A 20,753-nucleotide genomic window follows, 5' to 3' on the forward strand; every position below is an offset into this window, starting at 1 on the left:
TATGTATGCACATATTTTTAGTTGCTAAATCACCTATGATTCATGATAGTAATTTAACGCTTTGACTTACCTTAGTATTAAGCAGATGCTGTTAAACCATATAAGAAATTTTGATCTTTAACGTATCTTTAAAAACATTTTAATTCAGAAGTTTGTAGGGTGTAAATAAATGGCATTTTTAGGTGGACTTTAACATTTTTGAAATATAATTTTGGGTTTATTTAAATCAACAATAAGCTACTTGTCAAGAAAGTAATACACTTTTGTATGTTAACAGTGCCCTAAAATAAAGATCCCCACTCTGCTGGCTGTCATTAACCATTATTTAATTTGCTGAAATAATGCTATGTCCAGAAGTTTTGTTTCTGTTCTCAGACTAGGCAATCTCATATTAACCCTAGGCGTTCCTTTTGTAAAGTGTGTATCAGTGCCACTAAGGCAAATAGGAAAGAGTTTATCATTTATTAAATTTTTAGTGTCAGAGAAGTTGTGAAACATTTCTAGTACTGTGAACATTGGTCATTAAAGCCACATTCTTGTGCTATACTGTGTTGGCTTGGCAGATGGTGTGGGTGATAAATCCTTTAACACCACCATGTGGAATGGTGATTTCATATTTGTATGCAAAAGTCCTTTTTTTTAAAGTCTTTTAGAGGTAATCTTAAACTCTGCCAATATCAAATTATAAGAAGCTATGTAGTAGAGTCTAGATTAGTAATGTTTTACAGTATTTATTTTTATGTATTTTTTTCAACATCCAGTTTTCAGCTCACAGTATGGGCAGTTGCAATAGTAGATCACTTATTTGTTTATAGTAACAGCTAAAATTTATTGAGCTCTTACTTTATTAATGTCAGGCAGTGTACTAAACATTTAACACATTTTCTCATTTAATGTTATTAAAGTATTTTTTATTGTGGAATCTAAAAAAAACATAAAATACAAATGTATAACGTAAGTTATCAAGTGAACATCTGTGTAATCACCACCCAGATCAAGAAATAGAATGTTGCTGGCACCCTAGAAATTCTCTGTGCACCCCCTTCTAATTCCTCCACAAAATAGCCACTACCCTGACTTATGGTGATCACTTCTTTGGGTATTGGTGTTATTTTTTATAATGATTTTTGTCACCTTTATGTATTCCTGAAGACTATTAGTCAGTTTTTCCTGCTTTAAAAATGTATGTAAATGGAATCGTATAGCATATTTTCAATCTGACATCTTTTGTTCACTCTTAGTTTGTAACACTCATTTATACTGTGTCTTTCTGTAATTCACCCCCCCCCCCGCCTTTTTTTTTTTTTTTTTTTTTTTTTTTTTTTCTTTTGAGGTAGTCTCACTCTCTTGCCCAGGCTGGAGTGCAGTGGTGTGATCACAGCTCAGTGCAGCCTCAACCTCCTGGGCTCAAGTTATCCTCTGGCCTCAGCCTCCCAAGTAGCTGAGACTACAGGCACGTGCCACCATGCCTGGCTAACTTTTTTTTTTTTGTATTATTTATTGAAATGGAGTTTCACCTTTGTTGCCCAAGCTGGTATTGAACTCCTGAGCTCAAGCGATCCACTGGCCTTGGCCTCCCAAAGTGCTGTGATTACAGGCATGAGCCACTGTGCCCATCCCTTCATTTATTCATTTCAATTGCTATTTTCTTCGATTGTATGAATATTCTACAGTTTCTTTATTCTGCAGTTAAGGATGTTTGTGATGTTTCTAGTTTTTGACAATTTTAAACAGTGCTGATATGAACGTTTTTATACGAGTATCTTGCTTCATAGAAGTATTGTATATCTCTAAGGATATGCTGAGGAGTAGAATTGCTGGGTTAAAGGTGTGCATTTTTTCAACTTGAAAATAATGCCCAAACTTTTCTTTCAGAATTGTTTTAACAGTTTATATTCTCACCGGGATCATATGAGAGTTTTTGTGTTCTGTACAATTATTGTATTTTCTCACTTCGTCTTCTCAGACAGTATGGAGTGGATAATATCCCCATTTCGCATATGTCGGAACTGAGGACCAGAGGGATTAAATAACTTGCCAAAGCACACATTACTAGTGAGTAGCAGAGCTGGGATTTGAGCCTATCTCTGACTTGAGAACAGACACTCATTTTGCTCTACTATTTCAGGACATTATTTGGAAAACAGATTCCTCATGAAAGCTCAATATTCATTTACCATATCTTTGATAAAAATGACAGGAAAGGTCTGTGCTGTTGTGGACCTTCCATTTTAATACTTACTGAGGGAGTGCATAGATTACAAAACACCAAGTAAATAAAAAAGATAATTACAGAGTATGATATGTGTCATGAAAGAAATAAACGGGACTAAGAAGAAACAATATGTTAGGTGTTTTGGGAAGAAGAAGGCTGCATTTAAACTAAGACCTAAAGGATGAGAAAGAGCCAGCCATCTTCAAAGTGCATTTAACAGGCAGAGGGAAAGGCAAGCCAAAAGTCCCTCAGGAGAAAATACTTTAAAACCAGTATTTCAGCAAAAGAACATTATATCAAATTAAACATTTTAGTTAGAACCCTCAATTATCTAATTTAAAGGATAAGAGTTTGGGGTATTATAAAATTCAAGGAAAATTAAATAGGAAAGTGGTCTATGGAAAAAAATAGAAATGTCACTTCTATAACAGTCAGACTAATATTTGCCTTTTCTTTAATCATGTCAAAATTTACTATGTGTGGTAACAACATATTTATGACAGATCGAAAGAATTCCTTGGGATAACATTATTTTTCAAGGCTTCCTGAAAAAGGCATGGATGTACGGAAACCCAGGGGTCTAGAGGTTGCAGTGGGAAAGTATCTAAGGGAAGAGAAAACCTAGTTTGACCTGGAACATTGATTAAAAGGAGATGCTATCTTGAGCAGCTAATGAGGATTTTTTAATTGGAAAAAATCCTAGATAATGTAGAAACGGAATGATTGGCCTATTTTACCAGCCCTCTCTACCAGAATAGCCTCCAAGTAAACTTCCAAAGTTAAATAACACAAAACTCTATCTAGTACACAATTTCATACTTAAAACATTTGAATCCGGGTGTGGTGGCTTGTACCTGTAATCCCAGCACTTTGGGAGGCCCAGGCGGGCAGATCACTTGAGGTCAGGAAAGTTAGAGACCAGCCAGGCCAACATGGTGAAACCTGTCTGTACTAAAAATACAAAATTAGCCGGACGTGGTGGCAGGCACCTGTAATCCCAGCTACTTGGGAGGCTGAGGCAGGAGAATCACTTGAACCCGGGAGGCAGAGGTTGCAGTGAGCCCAGATCGTGCCATTGCACTCTAGCCTGGGTGACAGAGCAAGACTCCATCTCAAAAAAAAGAAAAAAAAATATATATATATAGATATATAGATATATAGATATAGATATAGATATATAATAGGTATGCTTTCTCAGATGGATTTTCTGGACACTATAGCAATTCTTCTTTAAAGGTAGTCTGGTACAGCTATTTGTAACAATCCTGTATAGCAGTTTCATAGATGCTGTATACCCTGGGAGGTATTTCTACAAAGTATAGAATTTTAAAAATCTCCTCTGGAGCTATACAGTGCAGAACTTCTGCTGTCGTTTTTATGAGGACCATGTTAGAAGCCCTTAGCTTCTGTAGATTTGGGAACAAAGGAATGAGGGAAATAGATACCTAAAAATAGATAATCTAAAATAATTTACCTTGACTCATTATAACATGTGGAATTCTGTCATTTGGAAAATGGTTAAGTGTTTTCACTGAAACCATCAGGAATTTAAAACTAGATCCAAAAAGAAAAATTTCCCTCTCCATTTTGACAGAAGTCACTGTTTATAGTATATTGACAAGTTCTTTTTATCTTTTGGTGAGGATTAGAATAGTAAATGTAATGAAACATCCTAAGTGGTAAGATCAATATTTTATACCCAGGGCTGAAACTCACAAAAGAGGACTGAACCTAAGCCGTCACTTACGACTTAACACATATACACGATGTTTAGAGCTATGAGTCTGGTACGATAACCATGGAAAATACGGGATGAGCAAGGGAGGGGGGTATAGGACCAAGTGCTAAAGGAACTCCTACCACTTAATTGCTGGGTAGAAGAGTGTGTTGTTTCAAGAAAGGGAGTGGCTGACAGTGTCAGATGGTACTGTAGGAGTTCAGTGAGACAGGAACTGAAAAATGTACATTAGATTTAGCAGCCAAGAAGTCATTGGATGTCTTAATAAAACGATTTTGGTGTTGTGGTGAGGGGAAGCCAGGTTGGCTTGCGTTTAAGAATGTGCTGCACTATTAGAAACTTTGGCAAGAGTCAGAGTGCAGTAAAAAGTTAACTCTGGTTAAAGGAGAGGGAATGATCAAGTTGAGGTGGAAATTTGAATATACTAGGGAAAGAAGAGATCATCCATAGTGTAAAAATTATCCTTTTCTCTACATCCTGCAAGGAAGTAATGATGATGGAGACCAGAGTTTCCATCTTTTTTGTCTATTTTCTACATACTCAGAAAAGTGTTCTGCTCCCTATGGTTTCTGTTTTTCTTTTCATCTGTTTGCATAGCTTCTTTACCTACTAGCTTTTTATCCCTGGCCCCTCTCCTAAGTTCCAGTCACACATTTTTTAACTGCTGGATAGGACTCTAATTGTCCCATAGCTCCTCAGATTCAACATGTTCAACTGAATCTTTTCCTTTTTGATTACTGAGGGCCTAAATATCTGGATCTTCCATTCTTTCCTTTATCTCTTCCTTTCTTCCCCCTTTTTTTCTCTGTCCTACCAGTCCCTGCTGGGGCTGGGAAACTTCAAATCATAATGCTACTTTTTGAAAGATTATTTTCTGGAATAATACTAAATTTGGTCAGCTTCATTTAATAAACCATTACCCATAAAATATTTATGTTGCCAATTTCTACTTTTTATCCATTAGTGTGGAATATACAGTAAAAACCAAAAATCTATCATTTCTGTGAAAATGGCAGGTAGAGTGAAGATTTTTATTTATGTACTTTTGTATCAGCATAATTTATAGTTCATAATTGCACACTTGAACCTCCTTGATTATACAGTTTTTATACTTTTTTGTGTGTGTGGACCAAATACCATACTTGCTAATTCTCTTATTTCTCTGAAACAAATTTAAAGAAACAAAAGATGTGTCTTCCACTTTGGTTTCCTGGTATTTCAGGAAATTAATACAATTATGAACCCAATTTTATTATATTTAAGTCTACTAATTGAACTACAAATAAAAAGTTATTTGCTTTTGACTTTTGAATTTTATTGTAGAGATAACTAAAACAGTTTTAAAAATAGATCTGCCAGAAGATGATAGAGAAGATACATTTTTTATTTTGTGTGGACATACCTTTATTTTAAAATAAAATACTGGAAAATTTTACTTTGTTCTTACAACATAGTTGTATGTAGTATGGTGGAGAGCTAGTTGCAAAATTATTGCTAGTTCTTCTATTTTGAGGTGGAATTCTGATAAACACCCACAGCAAAAATTTTTGGATGCCTGCATACTTTTGCATTGTTAAAAAGACACCCACATGAAATCTTAGCCTTAGAAAAAGTAGCCTACTAAGTACATACATCTTTCGTTTTCTTTTAACACAGATGGGAAGAGAGATGCCTTTTTGTGTATATTATAGACATTATATTTTCTTGTAATACTTGGAGGTTATATATTTTAAAGTCTGCTTCCATTAAAAAAACTGAAGAGCACTATGTATTCTATGGTGAAAGATAAGGGAACTCCTCCTTAAAGTTTGTTGAATTAACTGGCAGATTTTCTTGTTCTGGCTTTATTTGAATAATTGAACAGTTGAATCATCAATCCCTATTCAGAGTCATTTCTTATTATTTGGGATTGTCCCTGACTCTACTGTCTGAAACACATTAAACAGTGGTGGAAGTACAGCTGAAGTGGGTTGTTATTGTGATTGAGCTACACAGTCCCCTAGTCATATTTTTTTTTCTTTTACCGTTTATGCACACTTCTTATTTTTGAATTATACTTTAAGTTCTAGCATACATGTGCAGAACGTGCAGTTTTGCTACATAGGTATACACGTAACATGGTGGTTTGCTGCACCCATCAACCTGTCACCTACATTAGGCATTTCTCCTACTGCTGTCCCTCCCCTACCCCTCCCTGCCGCAACAGACCCCAGTGTGTGATGTTCCCCTCACTGTGTCCATGTGTTCTCATTGTTCAGCTCCCACTTATGAGTGAGAACATGCAGTGTTTGGTTTTCTGTTCTTGTGATTGTTTGCTGAGAATGATGGTTTCCAGCTTCATCCATGTCCCTGCAAAGGACATGAACTCATCCTTTTTTATGGCTGCATAGTATTCTATGTGTATATGTGCAACATTTTCTTTATTCAGTCTATCATTGTGGGAGTTTGGGTTGGATCCAAGACTTTGCTGTTGTGAATACTGCTGCAATAAACACACGTGTGCATGTGTCTTTATAGTAGAATGATTTATAATCCTTTTGAGTGTGTCCCCAGTAATGGGATTGCTGGGTCAAATGGTCCTTCTGGTTCTAGATCCTGGAGGAATTGCCACACTGTCTTTCACAATGGTTGAACTAATTTACACTTTCACCAACAATGTAATTTCTCCACATCCTCTCCAGCATCTGTTGTTTCCTGACTTTTTAATGATTGCCATTCTAACTGGCATGAGATGGTATCTTAATTGTGGTTTTGATTTGCATTTCTCTAATGACCAGTGATGATGAGCATTTTTTCATATGTTTGTTGGCTGGTTTATGCATACTTCTAACAAGTTTAACCGTTAATGGTTTCTGTGTTCATACCAGCAAGCAGAAGAAGAATAATAGGCATCTTCATTTTAAGCAGGAAGAGGGCTAACAATAGGCAGGCATATTTGCTGAAATGGGAAGTGACAGTTTGCAGTCTCATACAAAGGAAGAGATGAGAAAAATGACCAGAAGTAGTCACTTCAAGAATTATATTATGGTCCAGCAATTCCACTCATAGGTGTATCCTCAAGATAAATGAAAACATATTTTCACCCAAAAACTTTAGACAGCTGTTCATGGCAGCATTATTCATAATAGCCAAAAAGTAGAACCAGCCCAAATGTCCAACTGATGAATTAAAAAAAAGTGGCATATCCATACTATGGAATATTATCTGGCAATAAAAAGGAGTGAAGTACTGATACATGTTATAACATGAATGAACCCTGAAAACATGCTAAGTGAAAGAAGCCACACATAAAGCCCACATCTTGTGTGAGTCCATTTATATGAAATGTCAGAATAGGCAAATTCATAGAGACAGAAAATGGTTGGTGATTGGCAGGGGCTGAAGGAAGGGGGAATTGAGGTATTTCTTTTCGGGGTGATAAAAATATTCCACAGTTGATTGTAGTGATGCTGGGAATAAGAGTACAACTTTGTAGATATACGAAAAATCATTAACTTGTACACTTTAAACTAGTGAGTTTTGTGATTTGTGAGTTATATCTCAATATAGCTTAATAAAGTTTAAAAACAATTGCAAATTTGGGGTAATTTTAAATTTTTATGGGGTTGGTTAGTTCCATTTTCCATAAGCCTGGGGGCATCCTTTTTATAGTACAGTAAAATAATCATTGGTTGATAATAGTTATGAAACTGTGTGCTGTAAGGAAAATACTTAATGTGTTTTAGGATCTCTTTTGAAAAATGTATGAACTACTATCCTAAATGTTTAACATTAAACTTCATATGTGAATTCCTGGTTATCTTAAAATGACTCATTTTCCATGTATTTCACATAGCTGAGGTTATAGCTATGTCTATTAATGAAAACATGAGGATTAATTAAAAATTTAATTATTTTTCTCACCATTACAAAGCCTAGTTAAAATAATTTTCAAAAAATATACTTAATTAAGTTCATCATTGTCCTGAGAAAGAGGAGCAGCGCAGTTCTTGGCCGGGTCAGCAGAATCCCTGGTGACCCTCACCTAGGCGTGCCAGGGCACAGGTTGTGATTGTCCTGGGGCGGCGGAAACCCACGTGCCTGCCCTGCATGCCTGCCCTGCATGCCAGGCAGCACGCTTTGGAGTCGCTGTGATTGGCCGGTGTGCCCCTGCCGAAGCCTCGGCTGCTTCTGTCCACGTCTTACACTTCTTCATTTATCCATGGATCATTTCGAGAGTCCGTCTTGTAAATGTTTAGCATTTTGCTGCTTTATTGCTTCTTTCTGGGGACAGTTCCAGCACTTGCTGGGTGGAGAAAGGCAGCTGAGTCCGGAGAAGAGCAAAATATGGGGACCCAGGTTAAAAGCAGACATCGTCCTTCCTACCCAGTATTTCTATATTCAGACAGTGGATACATCAGGGAATAGCTTCACATCTTCTCCAGGCGAAAAAGTCTTCCAGGTGAAAGTCCCAGCACCAGAGGAGCAATTCACTAGAGTTGGAGTCCAGGTTTTAGACTAAAAGGATGGGTCCTTCATGGTAAGATACAGAATGTGTGCAGGCTACAAAAATCTGAAGATGGGAGTTAAATTCCAAGGTCAAGATGTGGCCAAATCCCCATGTATTTTAAAAGAGCCAGTGTGCCATGAGAATTGTGACTGGCCTTTGCAAGATAGTGCAGCCTGGCTACGGGGGATGAACTGCCCAACTGGAAACCATTGCTCAGATTCAGAGAGATCTGGCACATTTCCCTACTGTGGATCCAGAAAAGATTGCAGTAGAAATCCCAAAAAGACTTGGACAGAGGCAGAGCCTGTGTCACTACACCTTAAAAGATAACAAAGTTTATATCAAGTCTCATGGTGAACATGTAGGTTTTAGAATTTTCATGGATGTCATACTACTTTCTTTGACTAGAAAGGTGAAGATGCCAGATGTAGAGTTCTTTGTTAATTTGGCAGACTGGCCTTTGCTTTGGAAAAAAAGAAATCCAATTCAAACATCCATCCGACCTTTTCCTGGTGTGGCTCCACAGATTCCAAGGATATCGTGATGCCTACCTACGACTTGACTGACTGTTTTAGAAACCATGGGCTGGGTAAGTCTGGATATGATGTCTGTGCAAGCTAACACGGGTCCTCCCTGGGAAAGCAAAAACTCCACAGCTGTCTTGAGAGGGCAAGACAGCCGCAAAGGAGACTTGAGCTGGTTAAACTCAGTAGAAACACCCTGAACTCATAGACGCTGCTTTCACCAACTTTTTCTTCTTTAAACATGATGAAAACCTGTATGGTCCCATTGTGAAACACATTTCATTTTTTGATTTCTTCAAGCATAAGTATCAAATAAATATTGATGGCATCGTAGCAGCTTATCACCTGCCATATTTACTAGTTAGTGACAGTGTTGTGCTGAAGCCAAGACTCCGTCTACTATGAACATTTTTACAATGAGCTCTGCAGCCCTGGAAACACTACATTCCAGTGAAGAGCAACCTGAGCGATCTGCTAGAAAAACTTAAATGGACAAAAGATCACAATGAAGAGGCCAAAAAGATAGCAAAAGCAGGACAAGAATTTGCAAGAAATAATCTCATGGATGATGACATATTCTGTTATTATTTCAAACTTTTCCAGGAATATGCCAATTTACAAGTGAGTGGGCCGCAAATCTGAGAGGGCATGAAAAGGGTAGAACCACAGACTGAGAATGACCTCTTCCCTTGCACTTGCCATAGGAAAAAGACCAAAGATGAACTCTGATATGCAAAATAACTTCTATTAAAATAATGGTGCTCTGAAGACTCTTAACTAAAAAGAATTTTTTTAAGTATTAATTCCATGGACAATATAAAATCTGTGTGATTGTTTGCAGTATGAAGATAACGTTTCTACTTATGCAGTATTCTCATGACTGTACTTTACATTTTTAGAATTTTATAATAAAACTACCTTTATTAAAAAATATATATACACACAATTATTGCATCTGGCTTATACTTCTATTGCTTCAAAAATCAAAGAATTAACAGTAATTAACATATGTAAATATGGAATCTAAGAGCTAATCTAGGTTGATAGTACTTTAAAAAAGCATATAGCAATATTGCATTACATGGAATTGAGTGAGTCTATTTGGCTGACAGATGTTGGTTAAGGGAAAAGGGAATTTTGATTATCATGTAGATTTTGCACTGTGGTAGCACAGAACTTGCTGCATCTCATTTCTGTTAAAAGAAAATATATATAGGCTGGGCACGGTGGCTCACACCTGTAATCCTAGCACTTTGAGAGGCCAAGGCGGGCAGATCACGAGGTCAGGAGATCGAGACCATCCTGGCTAAGATGGTGAAACCCCATCTCTACTAAAAATACAAAAAATTAGCCGGGCTTGGTGGTGGGCGCCTGTAGTCCCAGCTACTCGGGAGGCTGAGGCAGGAGAATGGCATGAACCTGGGAGGCGGAGCTTGCAGTGAGCTGAGATCGCGCCACTGCACTGCAGCCTGGGTGACAGAGCGAGACTCCATCTCAAAAAAAAAAAAAAAAAGTGTACGCATATATATATGTGTGTGTATATACGTGTGTGTGTGTGTATATATATATATATGGAGAGAGAGAATTCACTAAAGGATGTGAAGTACTGAAAATATGTTTTAAAAATTTAGTTGGTTCTTCTGCATTTAAAGAACATCTGAAATATAGCCACATTATGTTCTCTGCTGTTTAGATGTGGGTAGAGGAAGAACCACAGGATGGTGTTAGAGACATAATTCTAAACCCAGAACATCTATTTCCTAAACCATCTCCCCTTTCCTTTCATGACCTTTTTAGGGCTCGGTTACTGCTTTGGAAATGTGTCATATATTGGGATAGAACAAAACTCAAGAAGCACTGAAAGAGAAAGAGAGAAGTTAGAGAACAAAGAATTATGGAATCAGCTATGAAACCTAAAAACCTAAAAAGGAAACACTGGTTGTCAAATTCATTATGTCAACCAGTACATGTCTGAGTCTGAGAAAAACTACAAAGGAAAGCAATGAAAAGCACTGAGTCACTGCAGACAAGGAATGAGTAAAGAGAGGAGCTATGAAGGAATCTTGGGATCCATGGGATTCCTGCTGTCATGGACTATAAAAAAAACATATTCGTTGGTGATGAAGAGGAGTTTTAAGTTGTTAATGTTGAAATTTCAGATGTAGGACTGGTGGCAACTAGGTGATGTAAATTTGTGGCTTGAGAGATGGGGTCTGAATTGATCGACTTAGCTACCCTGTAATTAGCAAACAGGAGTCATTGTTTCCTCCAGACACTACCAAAAGTGTAGCTAGAATTTGGAATTATTAAAATGGATTTACTGTCATAGTGAGACTTAAATTTTAAGAAATTTCAGTAATTAAGGTTTTCTTCTAGTTTATTGTTTTGTCCTTTCCTGGGGTAAAATATTTGGAAACCCTTGATTCTTGGAAATCTGTACTATGCCCTCTTAAATATGGTTAGATGTATTTAGTTATGTTTGTTTTTATCAAGTGATTTTAAATTTTAAATGTTAAGCATAATTCATATTTCTTTTTATAACCAGGAACCTTTTGAGGATGGCTTTGCAAATGGGGAAGAAAGTACTCCAACCAGAGATGCTGTGGTCACGTATACTGCAGAAAGTAAAGGAGTCGTGAAGTTTGGCTGGATCAAGGGTGTATTAGTATGTATATATAGACTTAATTTTATAGTTACAGCATATCTGTTGGTTATAAAATCTTCCTAACGTTCTCATCAGTTCTCAAGAGAACTCTTTTTTTCTCTATGTTAACTGTCTTATCTGAGTGCTGTGGAAAACCAAATTAATAGCTTGTACCTCCTTTGCTTTTGGATATTAACTTCAGCAAAGGAGATATGCCATTTATTTTGCCAAATTATTCTTGATTATATTCTATGTAATGTGTTACTGATGGTATTAAATTATATTTCATTGCCTCTTGTGAATCTCATGCACTGTCACTTTTCAGAAATTAAATATGAAGACTATCAAATTGGGAGCATCAGAATCAAGAAGGCTGAGCAGGGAATAGAGCTGAAATATGCCTGCTTCCTTTCACATTCCCCCCATTATATTTCGAAGAGAAGCGTATGGAAGTTAACAAGCAAGGAATACAGGAGAAATACTTAAATGTTGAGTTCACTTTGTGCATAGATTTAGGTGGTTAAGGTTCAGATTTACTTCTGTTTTTCTGTGTTTGAATAAGCACTAAGGATCTGACTAAAATAGGCTACATTGCCTTCTCATTGGGACTTTGGAAGCACTTAATAGGGGTTGTATTGGAATTTCAGGGAGAAATAGAGGGAAAAAAATCACAGTTCTAGTATTAATTTTATTGCCTAATCCATAAGGTGAATGTGAAGCTTCAGGTAGTATTGTTTGCCTTAGATTTTAGTGTTTTAGAAGACTATGTTCTATGTATGAACATAGCAAATAAAACTGAAAATAAATAGGGGAAACTTTTACAACTAATTTGAATTTTTAAAAATGTGAACAATTGGCATTTTGTATCGACAAATATTATGTAATACTTAAATCTGCTGAAGAAATCATGAAATGAGGATGTTATAAAAGAATAAGCAAAAGTTAAACTTTGACTGATAAAAGGGAATATGCACTACTTTTTTAAAGGGCTGAATTTTAAAAATATATCTTGTATCTTTCTTGTTCTGTTGCTTCTGCTGCTTCACACAATTGTGATGAGTGCATTTATTTTCATACACACTTTTATATGTTACATTGTGTTTATATTAGCTCAAAAGTAAGCTCTTTTAAGCTCTTTATAAAAACTGTTAAAGAAAAGGGTGGGGTAGGAGTTAGATTTAAAACTACATATCTTCTGTAGTTTCAAATGCATGTTCTACTTTGACTGGTTTAATGCTTACTATATAATGTTTGATTATTCTTCTTCCTCTGTGTCTTGGCCTCTTTTTCCCTCTTTAGGTACGTTGTATGTTAAACATTTGGGGTGTGATGCTTTTCATTAGATTGTCATGGATTGTGGGTCAAGCTGGAATAGGTAAGTGAAGTTATATCCTGCTTGATTTGAGAATAAGCAAAATAACTGTGTCTGAGCTCTTAACCTCATGAAACTCAAGAAATTAGAGTCATTTTTAACTACGTTTTCCTTTATATCAGATTGTTATCTTGATGTTCCTTTTTTCATAATTCTGATTTGGTTTTTATAAAATGAGATCAAAATTGGGTAATTTATAACTTAAAATGTAGATTCAGTATTCTTAGACCAACCAGTTTTAGATACCGATGAGCTTAAACAAGAGTGTAAGTATTCTCATTGTCTTTCTTTCTTCGTAAAGGTCTATCAGTCCTTGTAATAATGATGGCCACTGTTGTGACAACTATCACAGGATTGTCTACTTCAGCAATAGCAACTAATGGATTTGTAAGAGGAGGTAAGTAGAATCTTTTTGAATCATCATCATCAGATTACTCTTACTAAACAGAGGTCTAAATTGTATTTTTAATTATTTTTTACTTTAACTGAAGCAACATATTAAGTCTATATAGACAAGAAAGTTGCTACCGAGCACTTCCAGACTAGTATATTTCAATGTAAAATTTTATGTCAACTCATACACATAAGCTTTTAAGTTATTCAGTGTGTCTCGTAGCAAGAATGGAGCATCTACTTTGGTCTCTTATCCACTGGGCTGCATCTTAATTGCCTCCTCCAAGGCTTGCCCTTGGATCAGTCAGCAACATGCTCCTGGCATTTGTTCAACATTGTATTGGGGTAACCTCATTCCCCACCTCCATCCCCTATTGAGGAAAACTGAGGCAGTATACCTTCCCCATGATCTAATAGCATTGCGTGAGCTATACCTGGGACTGTAAATTAATTAATATATTTATTTGGAGATGGAGTCTCACTCTCACCCAGGTTGGAGTGCAGTGGCATGATCTTGGCTCAGTGCAATCTCTGCCTCCCAGGTTTAAGTGATTCTTCTGCATCAGCCTCCTGAGTAGCTAGGATTACAGACGTGCACCACCACGCCCGGCTAATTTTTGTATTTTTAGTAGAGATGGCGTTTTGCCATGTTGGCCAGGCTGGGCTTGAACTCCTGACCTCAGGTAATTTGCCTGCCTTGACCTCCCAAAGTGCTGGGATTACAGGTGTGAGCCACCGCACCTGGCCCTGGGACTTTAAATTCATACTTTCAAGTCTAGCTTTCTGTGGGCACTATGAGGCCTCTCATTAGAGTCTATAAGATCTGCCTTGTGAGATTTTTACCCTCCCTAGGAAGAGGACCTAAGAGACTACGGGAGAATGGAATCAGGATCCCTGAAAACAAGAAGAAAAGAATTCCATTTTCCAAATCAAAACTCTTCAGTCAGAGTGAGAAGATCCCTGGAGAAAGGAGACAAAATGTCTGCCAGCACCTGTAAAGTCATGGTAGCAAATCAACTGAGAAAAGATCTATTTCATCTGCCTCAACTGTTTTGAATATCCCTTTTTGACATTATATAACACAATTTCCACTTTACCTGCATCAAGTATTTGGGTGTGGGAGGGATAGAGACAGAGAACCAGATTGAGCTTTTCATTTTTCACCATTGTCTTTATATGTTTTAGACACCAGAGGATCCAAATCACTGTGACCCTTGGAGGCTGGTATCTTGTATCAATATGATTATGACTATGCTGAGCATTCATCACTGTTGACTGAAGTTTTATGCTTCTGTTAGCCTGGATTGAGCTATATTGGGATATACAGTGTGGATATGTTCAGCAGAGTTAGTCAGATAATGTTGAGAGATTCTTTTTGGCTTCTCGTGAACTGGGTACTCCATGCTTCATTTCTCTCTGCCACAACTGGGGAATGAAAGTGGGAAGAGAAATGGGCTGGGATGCTGTGTATTTGTAGGGGATCAGCAAATCATCAAAGAATTTCTCCTTTTCCTCAGACCTTAGAATCTAGGCTGTGAGCCTCAAAAGGAATGGGGCATGAAGCCACTGGCAACATTAACTTCATGCTTTTCCCCCATTTGAATCAGATTTTTGGAAGGTAGAGATTTTGCAAGATTGTGACCAAAAAGCCATTTCATTTTTCAATAATACCATTTGTAGTTTACATATATATACCATTGGTAGTGTGTATATATAAATATATATATATATATATATATATCTCTTTACAAATACATCTGCCTGATAGACTTTGTGTGCAGTCTTCTGTCCTGGACTGCCAGGGAAAGTACGAGAGTGTGGAACCCACACAGATCTGTCCCAAAAAATGACTATATATTATAATTTTGCATGAGTTTCCTGAAAAATCTGTTCACAAAGGAAGAACCTAGAGGGTAAAAACCACTTGAAATTCTGTTATGAGGTGTTCATACGATCAAGAAGGTGATACATTTGGTGAAATAATGAAACCCATAGAAGATAAAAGAGAAAGTTATTAATTTAAAGAGTGACCAGATACTACGAAGCTTTCTTAGAAGGCATTCATTTTTCACTTAGTGACTTTGGACAGCTGGATGGTCTTTATAGAATATGTATGAGCTGCATCATCTGCAATTAGTGTTTTCAAGAGATTCTTTTAGTGAATGTAAGCCCCTTCTGTCTCCTCTGTATCTGACTCAGATTTGGAAACCCCTAACATGGTTTATTTTGGTATCATGAAAAAAATATTTTCCACGTGGGAGAAACTAGATACAGGCATAAAACTGAGATCACATTACACCTGTATTCAGGATTCTAAATTGAAAGTATTAGTCTTAAAATTTATCCTGAAAGTACATATTTTTTAGTTTTTTCCATTAAAGTGACCTATAATAAATGACCAGCTCAGTGGCAATAAGCAATTCTTGTGCCCATGTTGTGTATTTCCACTCAAAAGAACCAACGGACTTTAGAGAAAAAATTGATTCCTTATCTGGGCAGGAAATGAGCTTAGACACCTTTTCAGATCCAAAGTATTGAGCACTACTAGTTTCATATCAAAAGGACCTAAGAGTCAACCTAAAGGAGCTAACACTGGCTAAAGTTTGGATAATTTGAACAGCAGTAATGATGATAACTGATTTGGATGAAAATATATGAAAATATGGATGTAAATCCATAAGTTAACAATGAAACAAACCAAAAAATCTCACTTTTCACCTTTGAAACATACTCGGGAACCATCTTATGAAAATTGATAAATAAATAGTGTTGAATCAAACTCCTGAAAGGTTTCTTTCCTCAACTCAAGGTAACCAAGAAGTCGATGAGATTTGTTCTTCAGATAATTGCTCTACATAATGAGTAAAGGAGGAAAGAGACTTAGAATATTCCAACTTTGTATGGTTCAAAGACTTAAATCTAAGACCTGAAACCATAGAAATTCTAGGAGATAACATTGGAAAAACTCTTCTAGGCATTGGCTTAGGCAAAGAATTCATGACCAAAAACCCAAAAGCAAATTTAACAAAAACAAAACTAAATGGGACCTAATTAAACTAAAAAGCTTCTGCACAGCAAAAGAAATAATCAGCCAGAGTAAACAGACAACCCACAGAGTAGGAGAAAATATTTGCCAACTCTACATCTGACAAAGGACTAATAATGCAAAATCTGCAAGGAACTCAAATCAGCAAGAAAATATCAATCCCATCAAAAAATGGGCAAAGGACATGAATAGACAATTCTCAAAACAAGATGTACATATGGCCAAGAAACATACGAAAAAATGCTCAGCATCACTAATTATCAGAGAAATGCAAATTAAAACCTCGATGAGATACCATCTTACTCCTGCAGGAATGGCCTTAATTAAAAAAAATAATAAAAATAACAGATGTTGGTGTGGATGTTATGAAAAGGGAACACTTTTACACTGTTGGTGGAAATGTAAACTAATATAACCACTATGTAAAATAGTATGGAGATTCCTTAACTAAAAGTAGAACTACCATTTGATACAGCAGTCTTCCTGCTGGGTAATCTACCCAAACAAAGGAAAATAAGTCATTATATGAAAAAGACACTTGTGCACACATGTTTATAGCAGTAGAATTCACAATTATAAAAATGTGGAACCAAACTTAAATGCCTATCAACCAGTGAGTGGATAAAGAAAATGTGGTATATATACACCATGGAATACTATTCAGCCATCAAAAGGAATGAAATAATGGCATTTGCGGCAACCTGCATGGAGTTGGAGACCATCATTCTAAGTGAAGTAACTCAGGAATGGAAAACAAATCTCATGTATTCTTTCTTATAAGTGGGAGGTAAGCTATCAGGATGCAAAGGCATAAGAATGATATAATAGACTTTGGGGATGCGGGTGGAAGGGTGGGAGGTGGGTGAGGGATAAAAGGCCACACAACCACACATTGGGTATAGTGTATGCTGCTTGGGTGATGAATGCACCAAAATCTCAGAAATCACCATTAAAGAACTTACCCATGTAACCAAAAACCACCTGTTCCCCAAAAACTATTGAAATAATTTTTTTTTAATTCCAACTTCTGTAAAGCTTTTACTTGATAAGAATACCTGTGAAGTATTGTTTCCCAACAAATTAAATCTGAATCACATTATGCCAATATCTCCAGGAAACATTTTATAGAATATCCAGAGGAGAGAGGAACTTTTTAAATGACAGCATAGGGTGATGACAGAAAATTCCAGACTGGGAATCTCTATGGAGCAAGGAACCCTTCTTATTCAAGGCTCGAAAAAAGATGGAGAGGAGAGTTAATGGTTTAAAACAAACTTGGGATTCAATGTGTAGGTATGAGTTTTGTTTGCCATTTTAGCTATAAACTATAAACTATACTTCTTGGTGGTACCAAGAATCCCTGAGTTGGATTTCCTACAGCTCAACTGCTAAGATTTGATTTTGACTGCCTACCTTGTAAGGGCTACTTAGAGAGGACGGTAATAGAGCTAGAATTATCCAGAGGACTGGTGTCTTAAAAGGAAATGGAAAAATGCTGTGGGAAGAGTGATGTCTGGTGAACCCATCTGAACTTTTTGTAGACTGAAAGTTGACTATTAAGGGAATTAATGAGGAAATAAATTTTCTTAAAACACTATTCAAAGGTTGGGGAACATTATGTTTATTGTTTAGTAATTTTAATTCAAAGAGCCCCATTTTAAACTTGATGCATAGTTTTTAAAAATTAATGTTAACTAGTTTCAGCTTTCTACATGTGGCTATCCAGTTTTCCCAGCACCATTTATTAAATAGGGAATCCTTTCCCCATTGCTTGTTTTTCTCAGGTTTCTCAAAGATCAGATACTTGTAGATATGCAGCATTATTTCTGAGGGCTCTGTTCTGTTCCATTGATCTATATCTCTGTTTTGGTACCAGTACCATGCTGTTTTGGTTACTGTAGCTTTGTAGTATAGTTTGAAGTCAGGTAGTGTGATGCCTCCAGCTTTGTTCTTTTGGCTTCCTTACACCTTATAAAAAATTAATTCAAGATGATTAAAGACTTAAACGTTAGACCTAAAACCATAAAAACCCTAGAAGAAAACCTAGGCATTACCATTCAGGACATAGGCACGGGCAAGGACTGCATGTCTAAAACACCAAAAGCAATGACAACAAAAGCCAAAATTGACAAATGGGATCTAATTAAACTAAAGAGCTTCTGCACAACAAAAGAAACTACCATCAGAGTGAACAGGCAACCTACAGAATGGGAGAAAATTTTCCCAACCTACTCATCTGACAAAGGGCTAATATCCAGAATCTACAATGAACTCAAACAAATTTACAAGAAAAAAACAAACAACCCCATCAAAAAGTGGGCAAAGGATATGAACAGACACTTCTCAAAAGAAGACATTTATGCAGCCAAAAGACACATGAAAAAATGCTCATCATCACTGGCCATCAGAGAAACGCAAACCAAAACCACAATGAGATACCATCTCACACCAGTTAGAATGGCAATCATTAAAAAGTCAGGAAACAACAGGTGCTGGAGAGGATGTGGAGAAATAGGAACACTTTTACACCGTTGGTGGGACTGTAAACTAGTTCAACCATTGTGGAAGTCAGTGTGGCGATTCCTCAGGGATCTAGAACTAGAAATACCATTTGACCCAGCCATCCCATTACTGGGTATATACCCAAAGGACTATAAATCATGCTGCTATAAAGACACATGCACACGTATGTTTATTGTGGCACTATTCACAATAACAAAGACTTGGAACCAACCCAAATGTCCAACAATGATAGACTGGATTAAGAAAATGTGGCACATATACACCATGGAATACTATGCAGCCATAAAAAATGATGAGTTCATGTCCTTTGTAGAGACATGGATGAAATTGGAAATCATCATTCTCAGTAAACTATCGCAAGGACAAAAAACCAAACACTGCATGTTCTCACTCATAGATGGGAATTGAACAATGAGAACACATGGACACAGGAAGGGGAACATCACACTCTGGGGACTGTTGTGGGGTGAGGGGAGGTGGGAGGGATAGCATTAGGAGATACACCTAATGCTAAATGACGAGTTAATGGGTGCAGCACACCAGCATGGCACATGTGTACATATGTAACATACCTGCACATTGTGCACATGTACCCTAAAACTTAAAGTATAATAATAATAATAAATAAAATAAATAAAAATTAATGTTAACTAATTTGAGATAATGCCTGTTTATTTATCTTGATTCTTAACTGAATTATAACGTGTTTATATTTTATTAATTGAATAATGTTTTATTCTTATCTTGAAAATTATGTGTTTGCAGCTTTGCGGAAGTGTGAATTCAGTGAATTTTCCCTAGTGTTATGTACATTTTGCCATAGGAGAGATTTAATATTACTAATTAATTTTAACTTTGGCTTTAACAGTACATTTTAGAGATTAAACAGATATCAATCTAGAAAAGTTGTACTTTGTTATTAACTTGTAAACAAATGTAATAATGTCCAACTTTAAAGTCTCATGTAATGGAAACATGCAAGGTTTCTGAAAAAGTCAAAATGTAGAAAATAAAACATGCTTAGTTTCAGGCTTGATTCAATTTTAGTACTGATGTGGGGTACTATTTTTTTATTTTTATTACCGTTTTTTTTTGAGACAGAGTCTTGCTCTGTTGCCCAGGCTGGAGTAAAGTGGCACGATCTCGGCTCACTGCAAGCTCTGCCTCCTGGGTTCACGCCATTCTCCTGCCTCAGCCTCCCGAGTAGCTGGGACTACAGGTACCTGCCACCACGCCCGGCTAATTTTTTGTATTTTTAGTAGAGATGGGGTTTCATTGTGTGAGCCAGGATGGTCTCGATCTCCTGATCTCGTGATCTGCCCGCCTCAGCCTCCCAAAGTGCTGGGATTACAGGCTTGAGACACTGCGCCCGGCTGATTTGGGGTACTATTTAAAGTTACTGGAAGCAGATTAGAGAATCATCACTTAAGTTCTCTGCCTTCCACATAAGAATAGCAGTGCCAAGGAACTGATAACGTTTACTTTATTTCTGTCATAATCCCTGCCTGCAAGACACATTAATGCTTTTCAGATTATTGCAGGCTACAGGGATTTTAGAGCCCTTTCCTGTTCTACGAATCATAGCAGTGTTCTTGAGAGCTTGGATTTTATAGAGTTTCCACGGATCTGTACAACAGGTTTTGCAACTTGGATGGTGCTGGCCAGCAGCCACCTTCACTCAGATCTGCATTTCCTAGATTACACAGACCAGAGTTGTCCCATCTTTAATTAATCCATGAATTTAGACTCATTCATAGAATAGAGGACAACTGCAGGCAGCCGTTCATAAGATGAAGACTGTAAATTCTT

The 20,753-nt window shown here is 36.8% G+C and overlaps 1 protein-coding gene and 1 pseudogene across 6 annotated transcripts in view; both read left to right on the plus strand.

The window, feature by feature from the left end:
- SLC12A2 (solute carrier family 12 member 2) overlaps window positions 1-20,753 on the plus strand; it is a 105,912-nt gene that overhangs the window by 17,537 nt on the left and 67,622 nt on the right. For all 6 annotated transcript variants that reach the window (NR_046207.2, NM_001046.3, NM_001256461.2 and 3 more), the window contains exons 2-4: window positions 11,512-11,631; window positions 12,910-12,985; window positions 13,284-13,379. Coding sequence is in view for 5 of the 6 variants with exons in the window: in NM_001046.3 (NP_001037.1) it covers window positions 11,512-11,631; window positions 12,910-12,985; window positions 13,284-13,379 (292 nt within the window). In the remaining variant the exon portion in view is untranslated. The remainder of the gene's footprint in view (window positions 1-11,511; window positions 11,632-12,909; window positions 12,986-13,283; window positions 13,380-20,753) is intronic.
- Window positions 7,903-9,896, plus strand: POGLUT2P1 (POGLUT2 pseudogene 1; annotated as a pseudogene).

Source organism: Homo sapiens, chromosome 5 (genome assembly GCF_000001405.40).
Source record: "Homo sapiens chromosome 5, GRCh38.p14 Primary Assembly".
Lineage (NCBI taxonomy): Eukaryota > Metazoa > Chordata > Mammalia > Primates > Hominidae > Homo > Homo sapiens.